This window comes from Homo sapiens, chromosome 2 (genome assembly GCF_000001405.40).
Source record: "Homo sapiens chromosome 2, GRCh38.p14 Primary Assembly".
In the NCBI taxonomy this organism is placed as follows: Eukaryota; Metazoa; Chordata; class Mammalia; order Primates; family Hominidae; genus Homo; species Homo sapiens.
Genome location: NC_000002.12, coordinates 205,022,888 through 205,041,968, shown reverse-complemented (window position 1 = coordinate 205,041,968; position 19,081 = coordinate 205,022,888). Strand labels below are relative to the sequence as shown.

General features: G+C 36.9%; 1 protein-coding gene across 16 annotated transcripts in view, besides 1 other annotated feature; it reads right to left on the bottom strand.

Moving 5' to 3' along the window:
* The window catches only part of PARD3B (par-3 family cell polarity regulator beta), a 1,074,688-nt gene that overhangs the window by 578,194 nt on the left and 477,413 nt on the right, over window positions 1-19,081 (bottom strand). The gene's annotated exons all lie outside the window — the stretch shown is intronic.
* Window positions 8,712-9,215: an enhancer, noted in NCBI's record as "NANOG hESC enhancer chr2:205897477-205897980 (GRCh37/hg19 assembly coordinates)". NCBI's record gives its function as "activates a minimal SCP1, AML or CMV promoter by ChIP-STARR-seq in naive H9 embryonic stem cells {active_cell/tissue: H9 hESC(naive)}" and the evidence as "EXISTENCE:reporter gene assay evidence [ECO:0000049][PMID:30033119]".

The following is a 19,081-nucleotide window of genomic DNA, read 5'->3' as shown; positions in this document are numbered from 1 at the left end:
ATATGTTTGGGATGGAGATGGCTTAAATGACAGGTGACGTCATTTAATAATATGTTTGGGGGTTTTGAAGGATAGGCAGTTATAGAGATTGAAACCAAGGTCCTGAAGAATCACATAACATATGATGATGCAGGCAGCAGGGAAAACAACAATGGCTTCAAACAAGAGCCCCACATCAAAAGTTACAAGGCACATGTTCTAAATTGTATGGGGAGTAGCAGCAGGGATTTATTTATTTAAAGATGGTTAATGATTCTCCTGAGCATAACCAGAAGGCCAGCTTGTCACCAATATTGGTGTCATTTCATCCTAGGGTGACTGACACCTGGACAGCTCTCGGGGTGGGGGGCAGGTCACGGTGAAAGCACTGACAAGACATTCTGTAAGAACTAGAGGACCTCACGCACAGAGAGGCTAGAAGGGCAACGTGGAGAAGGTGAACAGGGTGTCAGCAGTCACAGGCAGAAATGGAGAGAGAACCTGGAGGAGGACACAGGAGAATTCAGAAACTGACTACACATAAAAAGCAAATGAGAAGGAGCATAAAACAGACACCTAAAATCATTCTCATTTCTGGCTTGAAGAAGAGCAATAGGGAGGTTTTGGCAACTGCTATGATTTGTCTCAGAGAAAATACAAATCTTGGCTTCAGCCCACTGACTGTTAGAATTATTTGCTTTTAATCTAAAATGTCTTGATATGCGTGAGAAACCAAAGACTAGATTTTCAATAGGGTGGGCATTCACAAAGATGAATATGAAGCTGATAATGAAAATCATATTGGTTTCTAGAATGAGCAGGTAGATACAAACATGAAGTGAACAGAGGAAAATAAAAAGGAGGAATCAGTAAAGAACTATTAATGGCATCGCATGCAAAATAACGCAAAAGCCAGGATTTCATACTCTCTCAGAATTTTCAGAAAGAAAGAAATATAGAATGCTTATTGTTTAATAAAGTCACAGAGGAGTGCTCAGAGAAATGGGTGGGGTGAAAGCATGGAGAAGGGAACTGGGATTAACACGATAACCTGTTTATGTGCAAAGAGACTCCTCTTTAGGGGGCTGGTCTTTTCAGAGTCTCGATTTTCCTTTGCCCTAAGGGATTCCTTTGGTGCTACCAAAACAGTTGGACAGTTTGAAGAAAAAAAAAACACACTCTCCTTCCACGACTGTTGACACTTAGGATAACAAGATAAATATGAACAGAAGAAAATGCTCTGAATTAAAATACATGTAAGTTGGTAAATTTTTTACATTGATGATGAAAGTAAACTGCAAGTGGCTAAAGTTCTTGCAAATTAGAGAAGAGAGAAAGAAGTAGAAAAAAACACATTCTTCCAGGTAATCCATATTAATAGCATAGAAAGACAGTATAGGCTGCATCTTGGTTTCATGTAGTACATTTCCTTAACAGACTTTGCAACTAGTCAGCACCTGGAACAATACCTCTCAATTATCTTGAACTTTAACAACTGTTGAATGAGTTTGAAAAAATATGGGTGTATCCTTCAGAGATATGGTACAAAAAGACTATAGGTCAGAAACTTTCCTTCTAACCATTATTCTAGCACTGTCACCTCAAAGAAGCTGCTCCCCCTTTTCTTGCTGGCTAAATGAGCACGGAGGAGGGGCTGCAACAAAGTGCCAGTGTAGACCTGTAAAAAGATAGTTTTCTAATTTAGATAGCCAATAAAAGTACTGAAGTAGCCGGGCGTGGTGGCTTATGCCTATAATCCCAGAACTTTGGGAGGCCAAGGTGGGTGGATCACGAGGTCAGGAGTTCGAGACCAGCCTGGCCAATATGGTGAAACCCCATCTCTACTAAAAACATAAAAATTAGCTGGGCATGGTGGCATGCACTCGTAGTCCCAGCTACTCAGGAGGCTGAGGCAGAAGGATCACTTGATCCCAGGAGGCAGAGGTTGCAGGGAGCCGAGATTGTGCCACTGCACTCCAGCCTCGGTAACAGAGCGAGACTCTGTCTCAAAAACAAACAAACACAACAAACAAAAAAAAGAACTGAAGCCCAGAAAAATGAAGTTTCCAAATCTTTTGAACTTTATTTCTACTCTAGTTTTACTCACCTGACACTTTCCTATGGCAGGGCCACATTCTCTATCTGGGTAAGTGCATAGAAGTAAGGGGAATAACACCTCTTCAATGCAGCAGCAATTCTTTTCATCTAAACTGGTCAGCAGGCTGAGTGTGGTGGCTCACGCCAGTAATCCCAACACTTTGGGAAACCAAGGCAGGCGGATCACCTGAGGTCAGGAGTTCGAGACCAGCCTGGCCAACATGACAAAACCCCATCTCTACTAAAATACAAAGATTAGTGGGGTGTGGTGGTGCACACCTGTAATTGCAGCTACCCGAGAAGCTGAGGCAGGGAAAATTACCTGAATCCGGGAGGCAGAGGTTGCAGTGAGCTGAGATCACGCCACTGCACTCCAACCTGGGTGACAAAGCGAGATTCCGTCTCAAAAATAAATAAATAAATAAAATAAAATAAACTGTCCATCAGAAAGAAATACTTTGATAGAAAGATACAGGTAAAAGGAAGGTATGGTGGAAGCTGAGTACCTGAGAGGAAAACATCAACCCATGGTCACAAGGACATATCTGGTAAGATGCTTGTCTCACTAGTCAAGGCATCCAAACTCCTCTCCCAGAGTACACAGTCTTTCTTGCAGATGATTTACATGCCTTACCAGTATTGCTATTACTCCCATCAATACTCAATAAAATAAGACTAGTGAAAGTGGTACATCATTTGTTTTTGGAGGCAACTACATTTTCTCTTTTTGTATAGATTTTATGGGCATCAGATAGGGCTTTTCAGCTGATGCCAAAAAAACTGCACAACACTGAAATCTGGAGACCCATAAAAAAAAAAACTGGTAATGATATCAATAGCAGCACAATTTATAGCAAAGTACTGAGAAGAGATCACTTTCGCCGCAGGAGTGCCTGACCCGGTTTGGTGCCTGGCCTGTGATGAATGCAGCAGCTAGGACATGCTTTCAGATACTGTGATGCGAAAACCACACTAAGGAAACTAAGTCAAAAACTTTCATCTTAAATATGAGTCCATTAGAAAAGAGACTCCCACTATTGCCATAAAACGAGGAAGGAAGTTCAAGTCAACTGACATTTCATATCATTTTTCTCTCATTTCAGATTGCAAAAACCATGTTTGTTCAACACATGATGGACAAATGCAAGTAATTCACAAAATAGTCAACTGACTACACAATGGATATGAATAAGCACACGCATGATAAAGCATCTTTTAGTATTTGGAAAACAGCTGAAATTGGAAAGCCAGTGCTACAAAAATATGTGAAGGGGTTTTTAACTCACTTTTATTGGGACTTATACTTGTCTCTGAAGACGAATGACTTCCACTTGAAGTGGGTTGAACTATTAAAGTTTTCACATTTTATCCAGTTGTATTCACAAATCTGCAATTTTTCAAAATTTTTAAGCTACTTTACAATATAAATTTGCTCATGCTACTTAAGGTTAGTTAATGCCAGGTCTCAGATATGCACTAGGTCTCAAGGGTTAAGGATAAAGCGACAGAGGAGGTTTGGTGCAAGCAAAGGTCCAGGTCTTTGAAAGGCATACACTCTAAAAAAACAAGTAAAGTACTAACTGAAATAAACAAATATATCTGAATTAATAAATCCAAATAAAAGCTCCTGAATCACAGAGATGAAAGGAAGGATTTTGATTATGTGTGCGTCAACCTCCCAATTTCTTGTTCTGGCATTCAAGGACCTCAAGGGTTTGCCTCAACCACTAATTATATCTTATACTACATTCTTTTTCAGGTGTATATGCCAAACAGACCACCTGCCATCACCTAAAAATGTCCTAGATCATGTGACCTCTAAATGATTATTCTCTAATACTGCAATCAGTTGTAATCCTGTCCCACTTTGAAGGTCTACTCCCAATAATTATAAACAATCTCTATTTCTTTGGAATGCCCAGATGCAGATTTGCGTGGGGAAATAAATGTAATTTCAGGGGTCCTCATTTGCATGAGCCCCTTACATGATGCCAAGAGGAGCCTTAGTAACAAGATCACATGATTATATAATTTTGTAAAATTTACATAAGTAAAATATTTTAATTGCTATAGGTTAACCCTGTAATCTCTTCCATCACTAAGGTTCCATCCATACTACTCTTCCTCCCATTGGGTGGCAATGAAGTGGCCCAGAGTATTTTTGGAATTCCAGTTAAGGGGAAACTGAGTCAGAGATATATCATATATATATATAGTCCACTATATACATTATATATAGTCCACTATATACATATTTTATACAGTCGACTATATATAAAATATATATAAAATATATATAGTCGACTGTACATATATCTTATATATAGTCCACTGTATATATTTTACATATGTATAGTACACTATATACATATTTTATATATATAGTCCACTATATATTTTATATATATAGTCCACTATATTTTATGCATATAGTCCACCATATATATTTTATGCATATAGTCCACTATATATATTTTATACATATAGTCCACTATATATATATTTTATACAAATAGTCCACTATATATATTTTATACAAATAGTCCACTATATATATTTTATACAAATAGTCCACTATATATATTTTATACAAATAGTCCACTATATATATATATTTTATACAAATAGTCCACTATATATATATTTTTATATACACAGTCCACTATATACATATTTTTATATATAGTCCGCTATATATATATTTGTTTTATATATACAGTCCGCTATATATGTATATTTGTTTTATATATACAGTCCGCTATATATGTATATTTGTTTTATATATACAGTCCGCTATATATGTATATTTGTTTTATATATACAGTCCGCTACATATGTATATTTGTTTTATGTATACAGTCCGCTATATATGTATATATTTTTTATATATACAGTCCGCTATATATGTTTTTTATATATACAGTCCGCTATATATGTTCTTTATATATACAGTCCACTATATGTTTTTTATATATACAGTCCGCTATATATGTTCTTTATATATACAGTCCGCTACATATGTTCTTTACATATACAGTCCACTATATATGTTTTTTGTACATACAGTCCGTTGTGTATATATATTTTTTGTACATACAGTCCGCTGTGTATATATATTTTTTGTACATACAGTCCGCTGTGTATATATATTTTTTGTACATACAGTCCGCTGTGTATATATATTTTTTGTACATACAGTCCGCTGTGTATATATATTTTTTGTACATACAGTCCGCTGTGTATATATACTTTTTGTACATACAGTCCGCTGTGTATATATATTTTTTGTACATACAGTCCGCTGTGTATATATATTTTTTGTACATATAGTCCGCTGTGTATATATATTTTTTGTATATATAGTCTGCTATATATATATTTTTTATATATAGTCTGCTATATGTTTTTATATATATAGTCCGCTATATACATATATTTTTATATATATAGTCCACTATATACATATATTTTTATATATAGTCTGCTATATACGTATATTTTTTATATAGTCTGCTATATATATTTTATATATATAGCCCACTATATACATATATTTTTATATATATAGCCCACTATATACATATATTTTTATATATATAGCCCACTATATACATATATTTATATATATAGCCCACTATATACATATATTTATATATATAGCCCACTATATACATATTTTATATATATAGTCCACTATATACTTATTTTGTATATATAGTCCACTATATACTACATATTTTTTATATATATATAATATATATGTACCTCTGTATAATGAAACTGGTTGAACATGCACAGTGGGTGTTGGAAAAATGTTTCTATTACTCACCAAGATGAATGGCAATAAATTAACTATATGCAGAATTGTTTCTGAGCCACATAAAAATAGGCCATTATATATATTCTACTATATATATAAATAGTCCCCTATATGTAAAAATAGTCATATATATATATATATATATAGTGGAGTCAGAGATATATCTCATATATATAGCCCATTATATATATTATATATTTTATATATCTCATATATATATAGCCCACTATATATATATATATAGATATATAGATATATATATATATATATATATGAGATATATCTCTGACTCCGATAGATAGATATAGTGGATTATTTATATACATAGTAGAATATATATAATGGACTATTTTTATGTGGCTCACAAACAATTCTGCATATAATCTATTGCCAGTCATCTTGGTAAGTAATATAAGAATATTCCCAACACCCACTGTGCAAGTTCAACCAGTTTCATGATACTAAGGTACAGGGCCAGGTGAAGTAATGATGTGGCTGTGCTGTTTTTGCACCAGTACTGTAAGTATGTGGGCACTGGAAGATAAACAAAATTTGAAATGCACAAAGCCAGAGCTACTCTATGGAAGATTTGTTCACTCACCAGATCTATACAATTATAAGCAAATAATTCAGTTCTCATCGATACCTTGACAAATGGGAACTTCTCTCTTATATAGAATATACTTGAAAATGCAGCACAGAATTAAAATTCCCACGCTAGTAAGACACAAACCTGTAGCAGTTTCATAGTTACAAGTATGTATGTGTGAAGCCCTTTATATGTCCCAAATGTTATTTAAACAAAAACAATTTGGATTACCCATGCTAGAGCAAATAACAAATTATCCATTTATTCAATCTCTCAGAAATTGATATTACATATGGAGAGGTGATTAAAGAACACATGGCTGGCCAGGTGTGATGGCTCATGCCTGTAATCCCAGCACTTTGGGAGGCTGAGGGGGGGGGATCACCTGAGGTTAGGAGTTCGAGACCAGCCTGGACAACATGGTGAAACCCTGTCTCTACTAAAAGTACAAAAAAATCAGCCGGGCGTGGTGGCGCACGCATGCCTGTAATCCCAGCTACTCTGGAGGATGAGGCAGGAGGATCACTTGAACTCAGGTGGCGGAGGTTGCAGTAAGCTGAGATAGCACGACTGCACTCCAGTCTGGGTGACAGAGCAAGATTTCATCTCAATAAACAAACAACAACAAAAAAAGAACACATGGCCAAAAATTATAGAGAAAAAAGTATAATATCGAGATATTTTCATGTGTTAATATATCATTAATATTATTTCTCACATTTTGTCATCTCTAGTATGTTAACTTTATTTATAAATTGCGATTATTTTTCATGCTAAATAATTCATTTCTATATAATTTTTAAAAAATTATTGCTGCTTTTCTTAAATAGCAATCCCCCCAAGTTTTGTAGTTAGAGCATTGCAAAATGTGGATCTGTTTTTGTATCTTTTTAGGGTGTGTTATATCCCTATTTGTCTTGTGTATGTAGTTGTATTTTGTCTCCCCTTGAGTCATTAAATATTTACCGAATGCCTAAAATGTGCCAGCTGGTCTTCCAGGCATTTTGGATACATCAGCACACAACACAAAGGCCTTGCTTGTGAAGAGCTGTGGATTGTTGGAAGACCAATCATCAACAAGTAAATAAATAAATACGGACATTTAAAATCGGGATAAAACAAGTTGTCAAACAAGAATGTGAGAGAGAAAGTGATATCTGGGAGAACAGGGTGGAACCACATTGTAAGCTGTTTGATGGCAAGCCACTTCCTTTAGTCAATCACTTAGGATCCCTAGCAGAATAGGCACTCAACAGAGGCATGCCAAATTGAACCAAACAAAGCTACAGGCGCAAAGACAGATGTTTAAGCTAAGTAATCTTTAGAGTATGAAATGTCCCAGACCTGAGAACTTTGGAGGTCATGAAAAGGGTATCTCGTCTAGTATGTAAATAAGTTGCTACTGTCTGGTTTGTTTCCCCTCAACTAACACTTTTTTCTTCAGCATCAACATTTATTTTAAAATAAACACGATTCACACTAATGCAGCACATGTTATCAGCCTTGCAACTTAATGGTAAATGAGCATAAAAGTGACACCAACAACGATGCTAAACAATCCCAGTAGATGCACAGAGATACTGACTCAATCTCGTCAATTACTGTGGCTTATAGAGGAATCTACTGCCCTGACAGTTGATCTTTCAGTTTGTGATACTTTACAGTCTTAGATCCTAGATATTTATGAGGTTAATCTATATTCATAAGATTTATGGCAACCCATGGAATAGCTAAAGGGATAATAGTTGAGTTCACCTGAAAAGATTCTGTGGATGAGCTGAATTTTAAAAAGAATTTTGAGATGCAGAAGATATATAAGATAATATATTGGTGTAAAATGATGACTAAGATATTCATAGTAGACAGATGGGCACGTGGCTTTTGATGCTAGAGATGGACACCCTTGCATGAATATTGATACATTTGCTCAGCCAGAATATAGGCATGCACTAAATGACTAGTGGAACAACTGATTGAGGAAACTACAGAATACGGTTAGAAAACATTACCAGAAAGCCTTAATTTGGGAGTGTTTTAATTTAATCTAATTGAAATAGCAGGAAGAAATAGATTATCTTCCAAAAGGAGATAATCTATAGCATTTTTTTCAAGTATTGAGGAACTGGTTAAAATATACTTTGAAAGATATTTGTAACTTATAAATATATGAAATACCTTGACTAAAATAATAAGTAGAGGAATCTTTTCCCCATGATTTCTTTAGTAATTCCCTTATAAATACCATGAAGTGAATCTTAATATATATCCAGTGAAGAGGGTGTGGACTTGGGATGATTGATTCAGAATGGTGCACATTTGGGATGGCTCATTAGGGCATTGTTGTTGGTCTGTACCAAGTGTTTATGGAACTATTCTCTTATCCTAAATTTTAGGTCACAGCCCCCAGTGAGTTGAGAACAGCCTGTAAAAGAATACTTCAAGAGCTCTTTGCAAGAAGAGAAAGGGAGAAATGAGCAATGCCTTCAGGCCATTGAGCTGCAGTTGCAAACAATTACTGCAACATCAAAGTACTAAATTCAAATCACCAAGTCCTTCTTGATAGATGAGAAACATCCACAAGTCAATTTCAGGCATCCTGAATACAAATCTATATGATTTATCAGTTGCATTTGAAACCTTTGATCATTACCTTTTATTGGATCATTCAAAGTTCCTGGCAAGACTGGAAAAAAATGGTGGGCTTTGGAGCCACTGTTATCTCTAAGAACACTAAAAAGGTGATTTTATTCCAAAGCCTATGTGCCTCAAATGCTGTTTTCTGTGTAACAGGAAAGGGCCACTCAGGCCCTTTCTTCTGTTTCTGCTTAATAACACCTAAAACTTTAAACCAGTGTTAATCAAATAAAGCTCAATCCAGAAAACTCAGAAACTAGGCTTTTCTGGCAGAGAACATGCCTAATGAAAGTGCCAGAGGAAAATCTGATTCTTTCCTGTATAGAGACTTTCCCAACATTTCCAACTGTGGTTTGAGACCTCATTTGACCCATATCTGCTCCTGGAGCCCAAGGATCAGCTTTAACCTCAGGCACCTTTTACATTATGCATCCGGTAGGAAGAAGTCGCACTCTGTTCATGATGTGGCACCAGCCCAGCTGTCTAAGCCTTTGTGACCTCACGTTGGATAACTGAAATCTAATCCATGTGAAAGTACTCTGGAAGACCACCCAGGTGTTTCATATGGCTGCTGTCTTGCTACTAGATAGGCCCATTACACAAGCTGGAGAACATTACCCCAGCAGGCTAATTCACCCAGTGTCAGAGTAAGGCAATGATCCACGGATTATTATTGACTTTTCCATGTAACTCCTGGCATCAAATTCAATGTGAATCAAAATCCAAAGGCCACAGGTACAAAACTGTACTGTGTTTCTATGATTCTTCAAAAAGAGAATCAAACTCTTCTAACAACATTGGAGTTCTAACTTTCAAGGGAAAAACATTTTAACATAGAGGGTCACTAATACTGGGAAGACATAATTTGGTTAAAAGTTAAAATATTTTCCACAGATAGATTTTTGAGAGGCACAGGAATGGCTTGGTTTCTATCAATTAAAAATAAATCAAATAAGCCAAAGATCAAAACTTCATGACTCTTTTAAGGGATTATCAGAACGAGAAAGCTTATTTTATTTTTTCCCCCACAAGACCTATGAATAAAGCAAATTATAGCAGAATCTGAGCTACTTATTAACTTGCAGGTAATACCTTTTTGATCTAGCCTATGTCACAAGCCCATTTTGCCTCAATTTCACTACCTGTAAGTACTGCATTACGCTATTTATTTATTATAGCTCAATAGCATAAAACAGACAATATTGATAAGTCACAGAATAGTGAATTAAAGCATAATCTACCAAGATGAGGGGAAATATGATAAAAATTCAACAACATAGGCCTACCACTCACTCCAAACATTAAATTGAAGGTGCTGATAAGAGGCCAGTATCTAAGTCAGCAGCGTTTGAACTTGTCAAATGGTTCCTGAGACAAGCCTTCTTTAATTTGAGATGAAAGATCATAATCTCATCTTTCAGGTCTTCTCAGGGTAAGCAAACCAATGCACAGTGCTATTTTCAAAAAAGGCCTACATAGAAAAGGAGGAATTGCCCTTATAAGCTACACATGAAAGTTCGGATGCTATCACAACTGTCTTTGTGCTGTGCTTGTCTAGGTCATCTCATTCTATGCTATCCATCTAGATTGGAAAACGCACACACAGAGTTGCCTTCACAGATAAGGTATGTGGGTCTCAAAATGAAATAGGTTGAATTCTCAGATATGCCAGTGACATTGCTGAACCTTTTAATTTGTTCCTTTCACGTACACAGCTAAATGGATTTGTGATGTGTATCTTTCTAGTCTGTGGCAGTCTTTGGTTGTGTTCTTGAAGTCTATCTAATATTTTCACAAAAGGCTTGTGATGCTCATGTCCACAGACCTTGGTCACTTTCAAAAGTAGCTTTTAAATGGTCTTCAAAGAGAAAAATCAACAATTTCATGCTGGACTTACATTCCACAATAAAAAGACATTACTGAGCAAATGTTGGATTCTTAGCACAGCATAAAAGCAACATATCTTAGCAAGGGTTGGGTAAACAGACCCCCCTCTGGACAGGAGGAACAGCAAGGTCACATTACAAAGGGCCATGCATACTAACACGGGAGGAATCTGTGGCCATGAAACAATTTACCATAGCTTCCAGTCCTATATACTAATTTTATAAGCTCTTATGTTCAGAATACAGATTTCATAAGCCCTTATGTTTAGAATAGATTTTGTTTCCTATCTAAAACAAACATATGGTATCAAACAGTCTTTTAATGCTCAGATTTAAATTAGTTTTAAAGAGATAAAAAGACTGAAATAGTTCTCCTATTCATACATGCTTAACAACATCAATATTTATGTCAACATATTGGCAGAAGAAACGTTAAGTTCCCTATATCTCAGTGGGCCCACAGTTTCATTTTAGAAGCAACACATTTACCTCAAATATTCACAATGCTGTATTTGGATATGGTGAACTAAGTGACTGGTGGACCTATCTCTAACAACTTTTCAGCATTCAAACAACTCAATTCTAAATGACAAAGATGTCTCCACTACACAACTTGATTCTTTTTGGCCAGGATGCCTTGTTTTAATTGGTTGTCGCTTGGTCATTGCTAAATTTATACAAATATTCAACAAACAGTCAGAGTACAGTGAGATATTATGGGTTCCAGGTAAAGCTCATGCTTCTTCCTCTGAAGCTCACCTCAGGGGACTATCTCTGTCCTCAAAAACAGGGTTTTCTCAATCTGTGGGCTGCAACCTATTCACGAGTCTTAAAATCAGTTTAAAGGGTCATGATCAGCATTCTATACCACAGAGGGCATAGAAGATATTGGACTGTATTACAGAGTAAAGATGCATTTTTGTTTTGCAGAACAGTTATATACTGGCTTGCAATGCAAAATCAATTTCTGGCTTTGTGTTATGGTCAAAAGAGTTTGGCGGGAAAAATAGCTCCAAAGCTGCTTTCCTGGAGGATGCTCCATAGCAGGTTTGCAACTCCCTATTGGTTTGGGAAGTTTCTGAGGAATTACAAGTGCCTTAAGAAAACACATCTAGCCCAGGGTTCTGTCTGGTAATACACTTCCACAGCCCTTCTGTTTTTGGAGTTTTATGTCCTGTTTAACATCTTTTGTCCAGGCACTTACTGAAGATTGCTAAATGCTAGAAACTGTGTTAAATCCTGGGGAAACAAAGATGACTATGACATAGTCCTTGACCCCCAAAGGGCTCTAAAGATACATACTAATGCATAACACAATGCCACTAAAGATTCCAAGCAGTCACTGGAAAGCGCTGTAGGAGCAAGAGGGAGAATTATAATTCTAACTGTTGAAGAGGGCTTCATAGCAGACTGAACATTTTAGTGGGTATTCGTAATCCATTCATCTATATATCCATCTTTCCCCTACTATGTTCAAAGCACTAAGCTGGAAGCTAGGGAAAACTTAGATGAATGAGAAAATGGACTCCCTCCAAAGAACTCCAAGCCCATAGGGGAAAGACACTTATAGGATGAGGTAGAGCAAAGGAAGTGGTAAGTACTAGGCACAAAGACACCACAGAGGCAGAAGAGGTTATGTCTCTCGGAGTCAAAGGCGGCCTTCTGTAGAAAGACAATGATGTGAGTAGAGGGTGATGGTGGTGAATAGTGGAGAAAGGCTCTAATACCCAAAACAAATCTGTTCTGTATTTGACACAGCAAAATAATGAAAACCAAGTGCATATATATTTGTGAACATTTTTAAAGCTGATGTCAAAAATATGAGTCAGAAACTGAGATAGGGCTAGCAACCTGGCACTAGAGATCATACTTAAATAAAGTAGGCTGAAACAGAGACACAAAATAAATCAGATTTTAGCACTTTCCTGCTTCATATTCTTGTTTCTTGCCATTTCTATTAAAATCCAATAAACTCTAACCAAGATCTACCAGATTACAATCTATTCCCAAATGTTTAACTCTTTTTGATGCTATTGTAAATGGAATTGTTTTCTAAACTTCCTTTTCAGATAGTTAAATGTTAGTGTATAAAAACACAACTGACTTTTGTACGTTGATTTTTATATCCCGAACTTTACTGAATTGATTACTGAATTTATTAGTTTTAACAGTTTCTTTGGGTTTTCCTTAGGGTTTTCTATGTAAAAGATCATGACATCTGCAAACAGAGACAATTTAATTTCTTCCTAATTCGGATGTCTTTTGTTTTTCTTGCCTAATTGCTCTGGCTAGGACTTATGGGACTATGTTGAATAGAAGTGGTGAGAGATGGACATCATTGTCTGGTTCCTGATCTTAGAGGTCTCTGAAGGGAAGGCCGCTAGTGGGACCTCACTCAGGCTGAAGACTCCCATCTGTCGACTATGAGTCTGCTCCTGTTAACCTTAAAAACTTTCAGCTTTTCATGTTGAGTATTATATTAGGTGTGGGCTTGTCAGAACCTTTGTTATGTTGCGATAAATTCATTCTATACCTAATTTGTTATGAGTTGTTATCATGAAAGAATGTTGAATTTGGTCAAATAATCTATTAAGAGTTTTTAATTATGAAAGAATATTGAATTTTTCTGCACATGTTGAGAGAACCATATGATTTTTATCTTTCATTCTGTTAATGTGAGGAGGTAAAAGATCTGTACATCAAAAACTATAAGATGTTGTTGAAAGAAATTGAAGACTCAAATTAATGGAGAGAGATCTCACGTTCATGGATTAAAAAATTAATATTGTTAAAATGTCCATACTACCCAAAGTGATCCACAGATTCAGTTTAATTCCTATATAAATTCCAATTCTATTTTTCACAGAAACAGAAAAAAACCCTAAAATTCATATGGAACCACAAAAAGCCCCCAAATACCAAAAGTAATCTTGAGCAAAAAGAACAAAGCTGGAGGCATCATACCCTGATTTTAAACTGTATTACAAAAGTACATAGCCACAGTAATAAAACAGTATGGTATTGGCATAAAAACAAGACACATTGACCAATGGAACAGAACAGAGAGCACAAAAATAAACCTGTGCATATATGGTCAACTAATCTTTGACAAGAGTGCCAAGAATGCAAAATGGGGAAAGGATAGTCTCTTCAATAAATGATGCTGTGTGAACCAAATATACACATGCAATATAATGAAATTAGGCCCTTATCTTACCTCATATACAAAAATTAACTCAAAAAAGACTAACGACTTAAATGTAACATCTGAAAATGTAAAATTCCTAGGAAAAAGCACAGTGAAAAAGCTCCTTTACATTGATCTTGGCAATGATATTTGGATATGACACTAAAAGCACAGGCAACAAAAGCAAAGGCAAACAAGCAGGACTACACCAAACTAAAAAGCTTCTGCACAGCAAAGGAAAAAAAAATCCACAAAATGAAAAGGCAACCTATGAATTGGGAAAAATTATTTGCAAACTGTATATTTGATGAGGGATTAGTCTCCAAAAATATTATAAATTCAAGCAGCTCAATATCAAAAAACAAATAACCAGATTTAATAATGGGCAAAGGACATGAATAGACATTTTTTTCAAAGAATACATACAAATGGCCAACAGATATATAAAAAGGTGCACAACATCACTAATCATCAGAGAAATGCAAATCAAAACCACAATGAGATATCACCTCATACCTGTTAGGATGGCTATTATCAGAAAGATGAGATAGCAGCTGGCTATTGGAAAGGCTGTGGAGAAAAGGGAAGCCTTGTGCACGATGGGAATGGAAATTGGTGCAGTCATTATAGAGAACAGTATGGAGGTTCCTTAAAAAATTAAAAATGTGTAAATTAATAAGTACCCTATGGTCCAGCCATATATCCAAAGGAATTGCACCTTTGGTCATATATCCAAAGGAATTTAAATCAATATCTCAAAGAGGTATCTACACCCTCATGTTCATTACAGCGTTACTTCAATAACTAAGATAGGTGTAAATAACACCTACAATAACAACCTCGGTGTCCACTGATGAATTAATAAAGAAAATGTGGTGTGTCTAAACAAGAGAATATCGTTCAGCCATAAGAAGAAGAACATTTTGCAATTTGCAACATCATGGATAAACTTGGAGGACATTATGCTAAGCGAAATAAGCCAGACACCAAAAGACAAAGAGTATCTCATCTCAATCATATGCAGAATCTAAAACAGTTTAAATCATAGAAGCAGACAGTAGAATCATGGGTGCCATGGATGAAGGGTTGGAGGAAGTGTTGAGAAGTTGGTCAAAGGGTATAAACCTTCAGTTACAAGATGGATAAATTCTGGGGATCTCATGTACAGCATTAAATATAGTTAATAATACTGTGTTGTTTACCTGAAATTTGATGACAGAAGATTTTTAAGTGCCCTCACCATATAGACACATGCACAAATGGTAACTAAGGATGATGATGAATGTGTTGATTTGATTGTGGTAATAAGTACACAATGCATGCACAGATCAAATCATCACCCTGTACATGTATAATTTATACAATTTTTATTTGTAAATTAAATATTTTAAAATAAAATAGAAAAAAGACTGTCTATATCAGGCTTGACTCTGTCTCATCTGGCTCTTCTCTGCCCACCCACTACACTGCAGCCACCCTGGCCTCCTTGGCTCTCTATCTTTCCAAATTCACCCAGACTGCCCTAGTGCCTTTGTACTAGCTGGTCCCTCTGCGTAGAATGTTCTCCCACCTTTCCCTCTACTCTCAGAATAGCCCTGTCATAGTTACTTGCTCTCTATTCCTTTATCCTGTTTCATTTTCTTCATTGCATTGTTACCATCAGAGAGACTCTTGTGCATTTGTTTACATGTATAACTTCTAAGAGCCAGAAGGGAAGTTTCATGAGAACAGAGATCCTATCTATCTTTTCCCAGTTGTATGCTCAGACCCTAGCGTACCGCGGGCTGTATAAATGTTTGTTAAGTTCAAAAAGGAACAGAGGTAGTTGTGACAGGCGTAGGTTAAGCAAGCATGCAGAAATGCAAGTGGGTCTCAACCAGGACACACAGAATTAATGGACAAATCAGAAATACAGGTTGCTGACTCAACTTATTAGGTCAGGTACAAGGCATCTGTGTGTTGAGGGGTCAGAGCATCGTGTTCGGTGGTTGGGGCAAAACATGGAATAGGAGTCAGCCTTGGATGTCAGAACCGGGCTGGTATTAAACCCAGAGAGACGTGTGGTTATTTATGTATCTGCTCAGCAGGAACCCAGACCACCGATACAGCTCCACGTATACAGAAAAACAGATAACATGACATCTCCTTGCTGATTCTCAAGTGAGAGCATAGTTAAACCAAGATAGAGAATCTGGAATTCAGACTGCCCAAGAGAACACTGTGGCACAAATTCTGTCAACAATCCCAGAGTAACACTTCAGAAAGAAAACAACACAAAATTCATTTGTCTAATTGGGACTCACTGTGAGAGACAATTCCTCCAAGATAATAAAACTTAGCCATGATGTTAGTGGTGAGCCATTCAGCACAACCAAAGGGCACTGTGCATGTGTCACACGGTCAGATCTGTAGGAGAAAGGCTGACACTTTTGGCAATGACAGCAGTCCAAACGAAAAACACAGCCACAGCAAGCCCATCTAACGGTTGCTGTGAATCACCCTGATTATGAGTCACAAGCATGCAATCACTGGCATACAGAAACTCCTGACTAATAGCCGTGAGCAGTTTGCCTTTGCTATCTAAGTGCCGCAGACTGAACACACTCTTGCCCGACCTAAAATCGGCATTAATACCTGAATCACAGCCTGGGGAAGCTCAATATTCCACTGCTGGAAAGAAGATAAACAGCAACAATACAAAGATGCAGCCCTTTTTAGTGCCGCTAGTTAAACTGAATGCATTTAATCTTTCTTCTGCATCTAAAATGTCGGTCATCTTCTCTTGGTGGCATGAATGATATGTAAACACTCCTGCAAAAAGCCAGTTTCTTGAAGGCTTTTCCACATACCAAACGGCAAACAGAATAAAAACCATGGTTACACTGAGTATTATAGAACACAAATCATTACAGTGCCAGAGGGCATGCTGTTTATGGTTCCACAACCAGAGAAAACCACATGATCATTAGTTATAGTGCTTACCTATAGGCTTGAAATATACAACTTATTTCTTTTGTTTAAGATATGCATAATCTGCTCTGGAAACAAATGATGTGCTTCATTAATTATTATGGTATGAAGGTATTATAGATCTATGAGGAAATTACCCACATCAATTGGCTTCTTCTAACCTTGGTCTAGCATGACAAGGAATTAAATAATAGTGTCCTACCAAAAAAAGTTGATCAACATATCTGGACAAATGTCCACATAACCACTACCTACATCACTACAACTAGTAAATCCTATCATTTGGGAATAAAAAATTTAAATAGGTATGAGGCACAATCTGGAGGAAGAATAAACTCTTGCAGAAAATAACAGTGAGGCCTGTAATCCCAGCACTTTGGGAGGCTGGGGCATGTGGATCACCTGAGGTGTGGAGTTCGAGACCAGCTTGCCCAACATGGCAAAACCCCATCTCTACTAAAAATACAAAAATTAGCCGGGTGTGGTGGGGGTGCACCTGTAATCCCAACTACTTGGGAGGCTGAGGCAGGAGAATCACTTGTACCCAGGAGGCAGAGGTTGCAGAGAGCCAAGAACGCGCCACTGCACTCCAGCCTGGGCGACAGAAGTGAGGCTCCATCTCAAAAAAAAAAAAAAAAAAAAAAGAAAGAAAGAAAATGATGGTGAGGCATACATGATCATAGCTAATGCATATCAAGAGCTCACCCTGCACTGGGCATTATTCTTAGTGTATTACATGTTTGTTTATATTCACAGAAATCCTAAAGCTTAGGGATGACTATTACCACCATAGCAGCAGTGAAGAAAAGGGAGACCAAGAGTTAAGGGATTTTCTCCTCACCACACACCTAGTATATGGTAGAAACAGGATTCAAACTCAAACAATTTCTTTCAAAAATCTGCACTCCTATCCCCCAAACAGCAAATCAAGTAGATGCTACCAGAGTCAAGATCTGGAGCTGCCGAAGTAAATACACATCTGTTTTTTTAAGGAAAGGCAGTGTAGTCTTAACTCAGCACCTGAATGATTGAGTTCATCCATGCATCCTTTAAAAGAGAAAAGCCTAAAACTCTTAATTATATATAATTCAAGTTGCAGAAGAAATATGACTGCATAGAATCCCCTTTCAGCAAATATTTCCTGGCTGCAGTATTGAATTGGGAGTCCAGCTACAGCCGGAGCTCTGTAATTAGGGTCCTTGGGAACTGCGAACAAGGTCAGACTCATGGTATTCCCAGTTTAAAAAAACAGGGGGATTTGGCGGGGGGTGGGGGGGTACTGCTGCTAAAAATAAAAATAAATACATACATTTAAAAAAGTAGCTTCTTTACCAAAAAAAAAAAAAAAAAAAAAGGTGTGGGCATGAAGAAAGATGCAAACCCAGAGACCAGAGTTACCAGAGGCAACTCCTCAGCCTTCTCTTTCTTCAATTTCCTTTGCTGGAAGGCCAAAGGTGGGGACCTGTCTAAGCAGCATTGCTGCCACGTACAATTATTATTTTAATCGACATTGTGCTGTGTTAATGAGTGCCAACCATGTGCCAGATGGTGTTGAAAACAAAGCCTTCTCTGCAATCCTGCCCAGTGGGATCACCACCTCTCCTCTCTGTGAAAGCGATCACAAATGTGGTAATGAGCTAACTCCGATGCAACCGAACTTCTAATCCCCCCGACACTCTCTGATTGGGCACTGCACCAAGATTTGGCATAGAAAAGGCACCTGGAGTGCTGTCGGATGATCTCTTCAGGGATAATGGACCAGGGAACTGAGCCTGTAATGATTTCATATCAGTTTGTTCAAGTTCAGTTGCTATTAATTGGGTTCAAGTTCAGCTCCAGTTCACACAATCTAAATAAATAGCTGTTGAAACCAGCTTAGTGCCTGGCACAGTATGTATCTTTGTAACTAACAAGAGGCA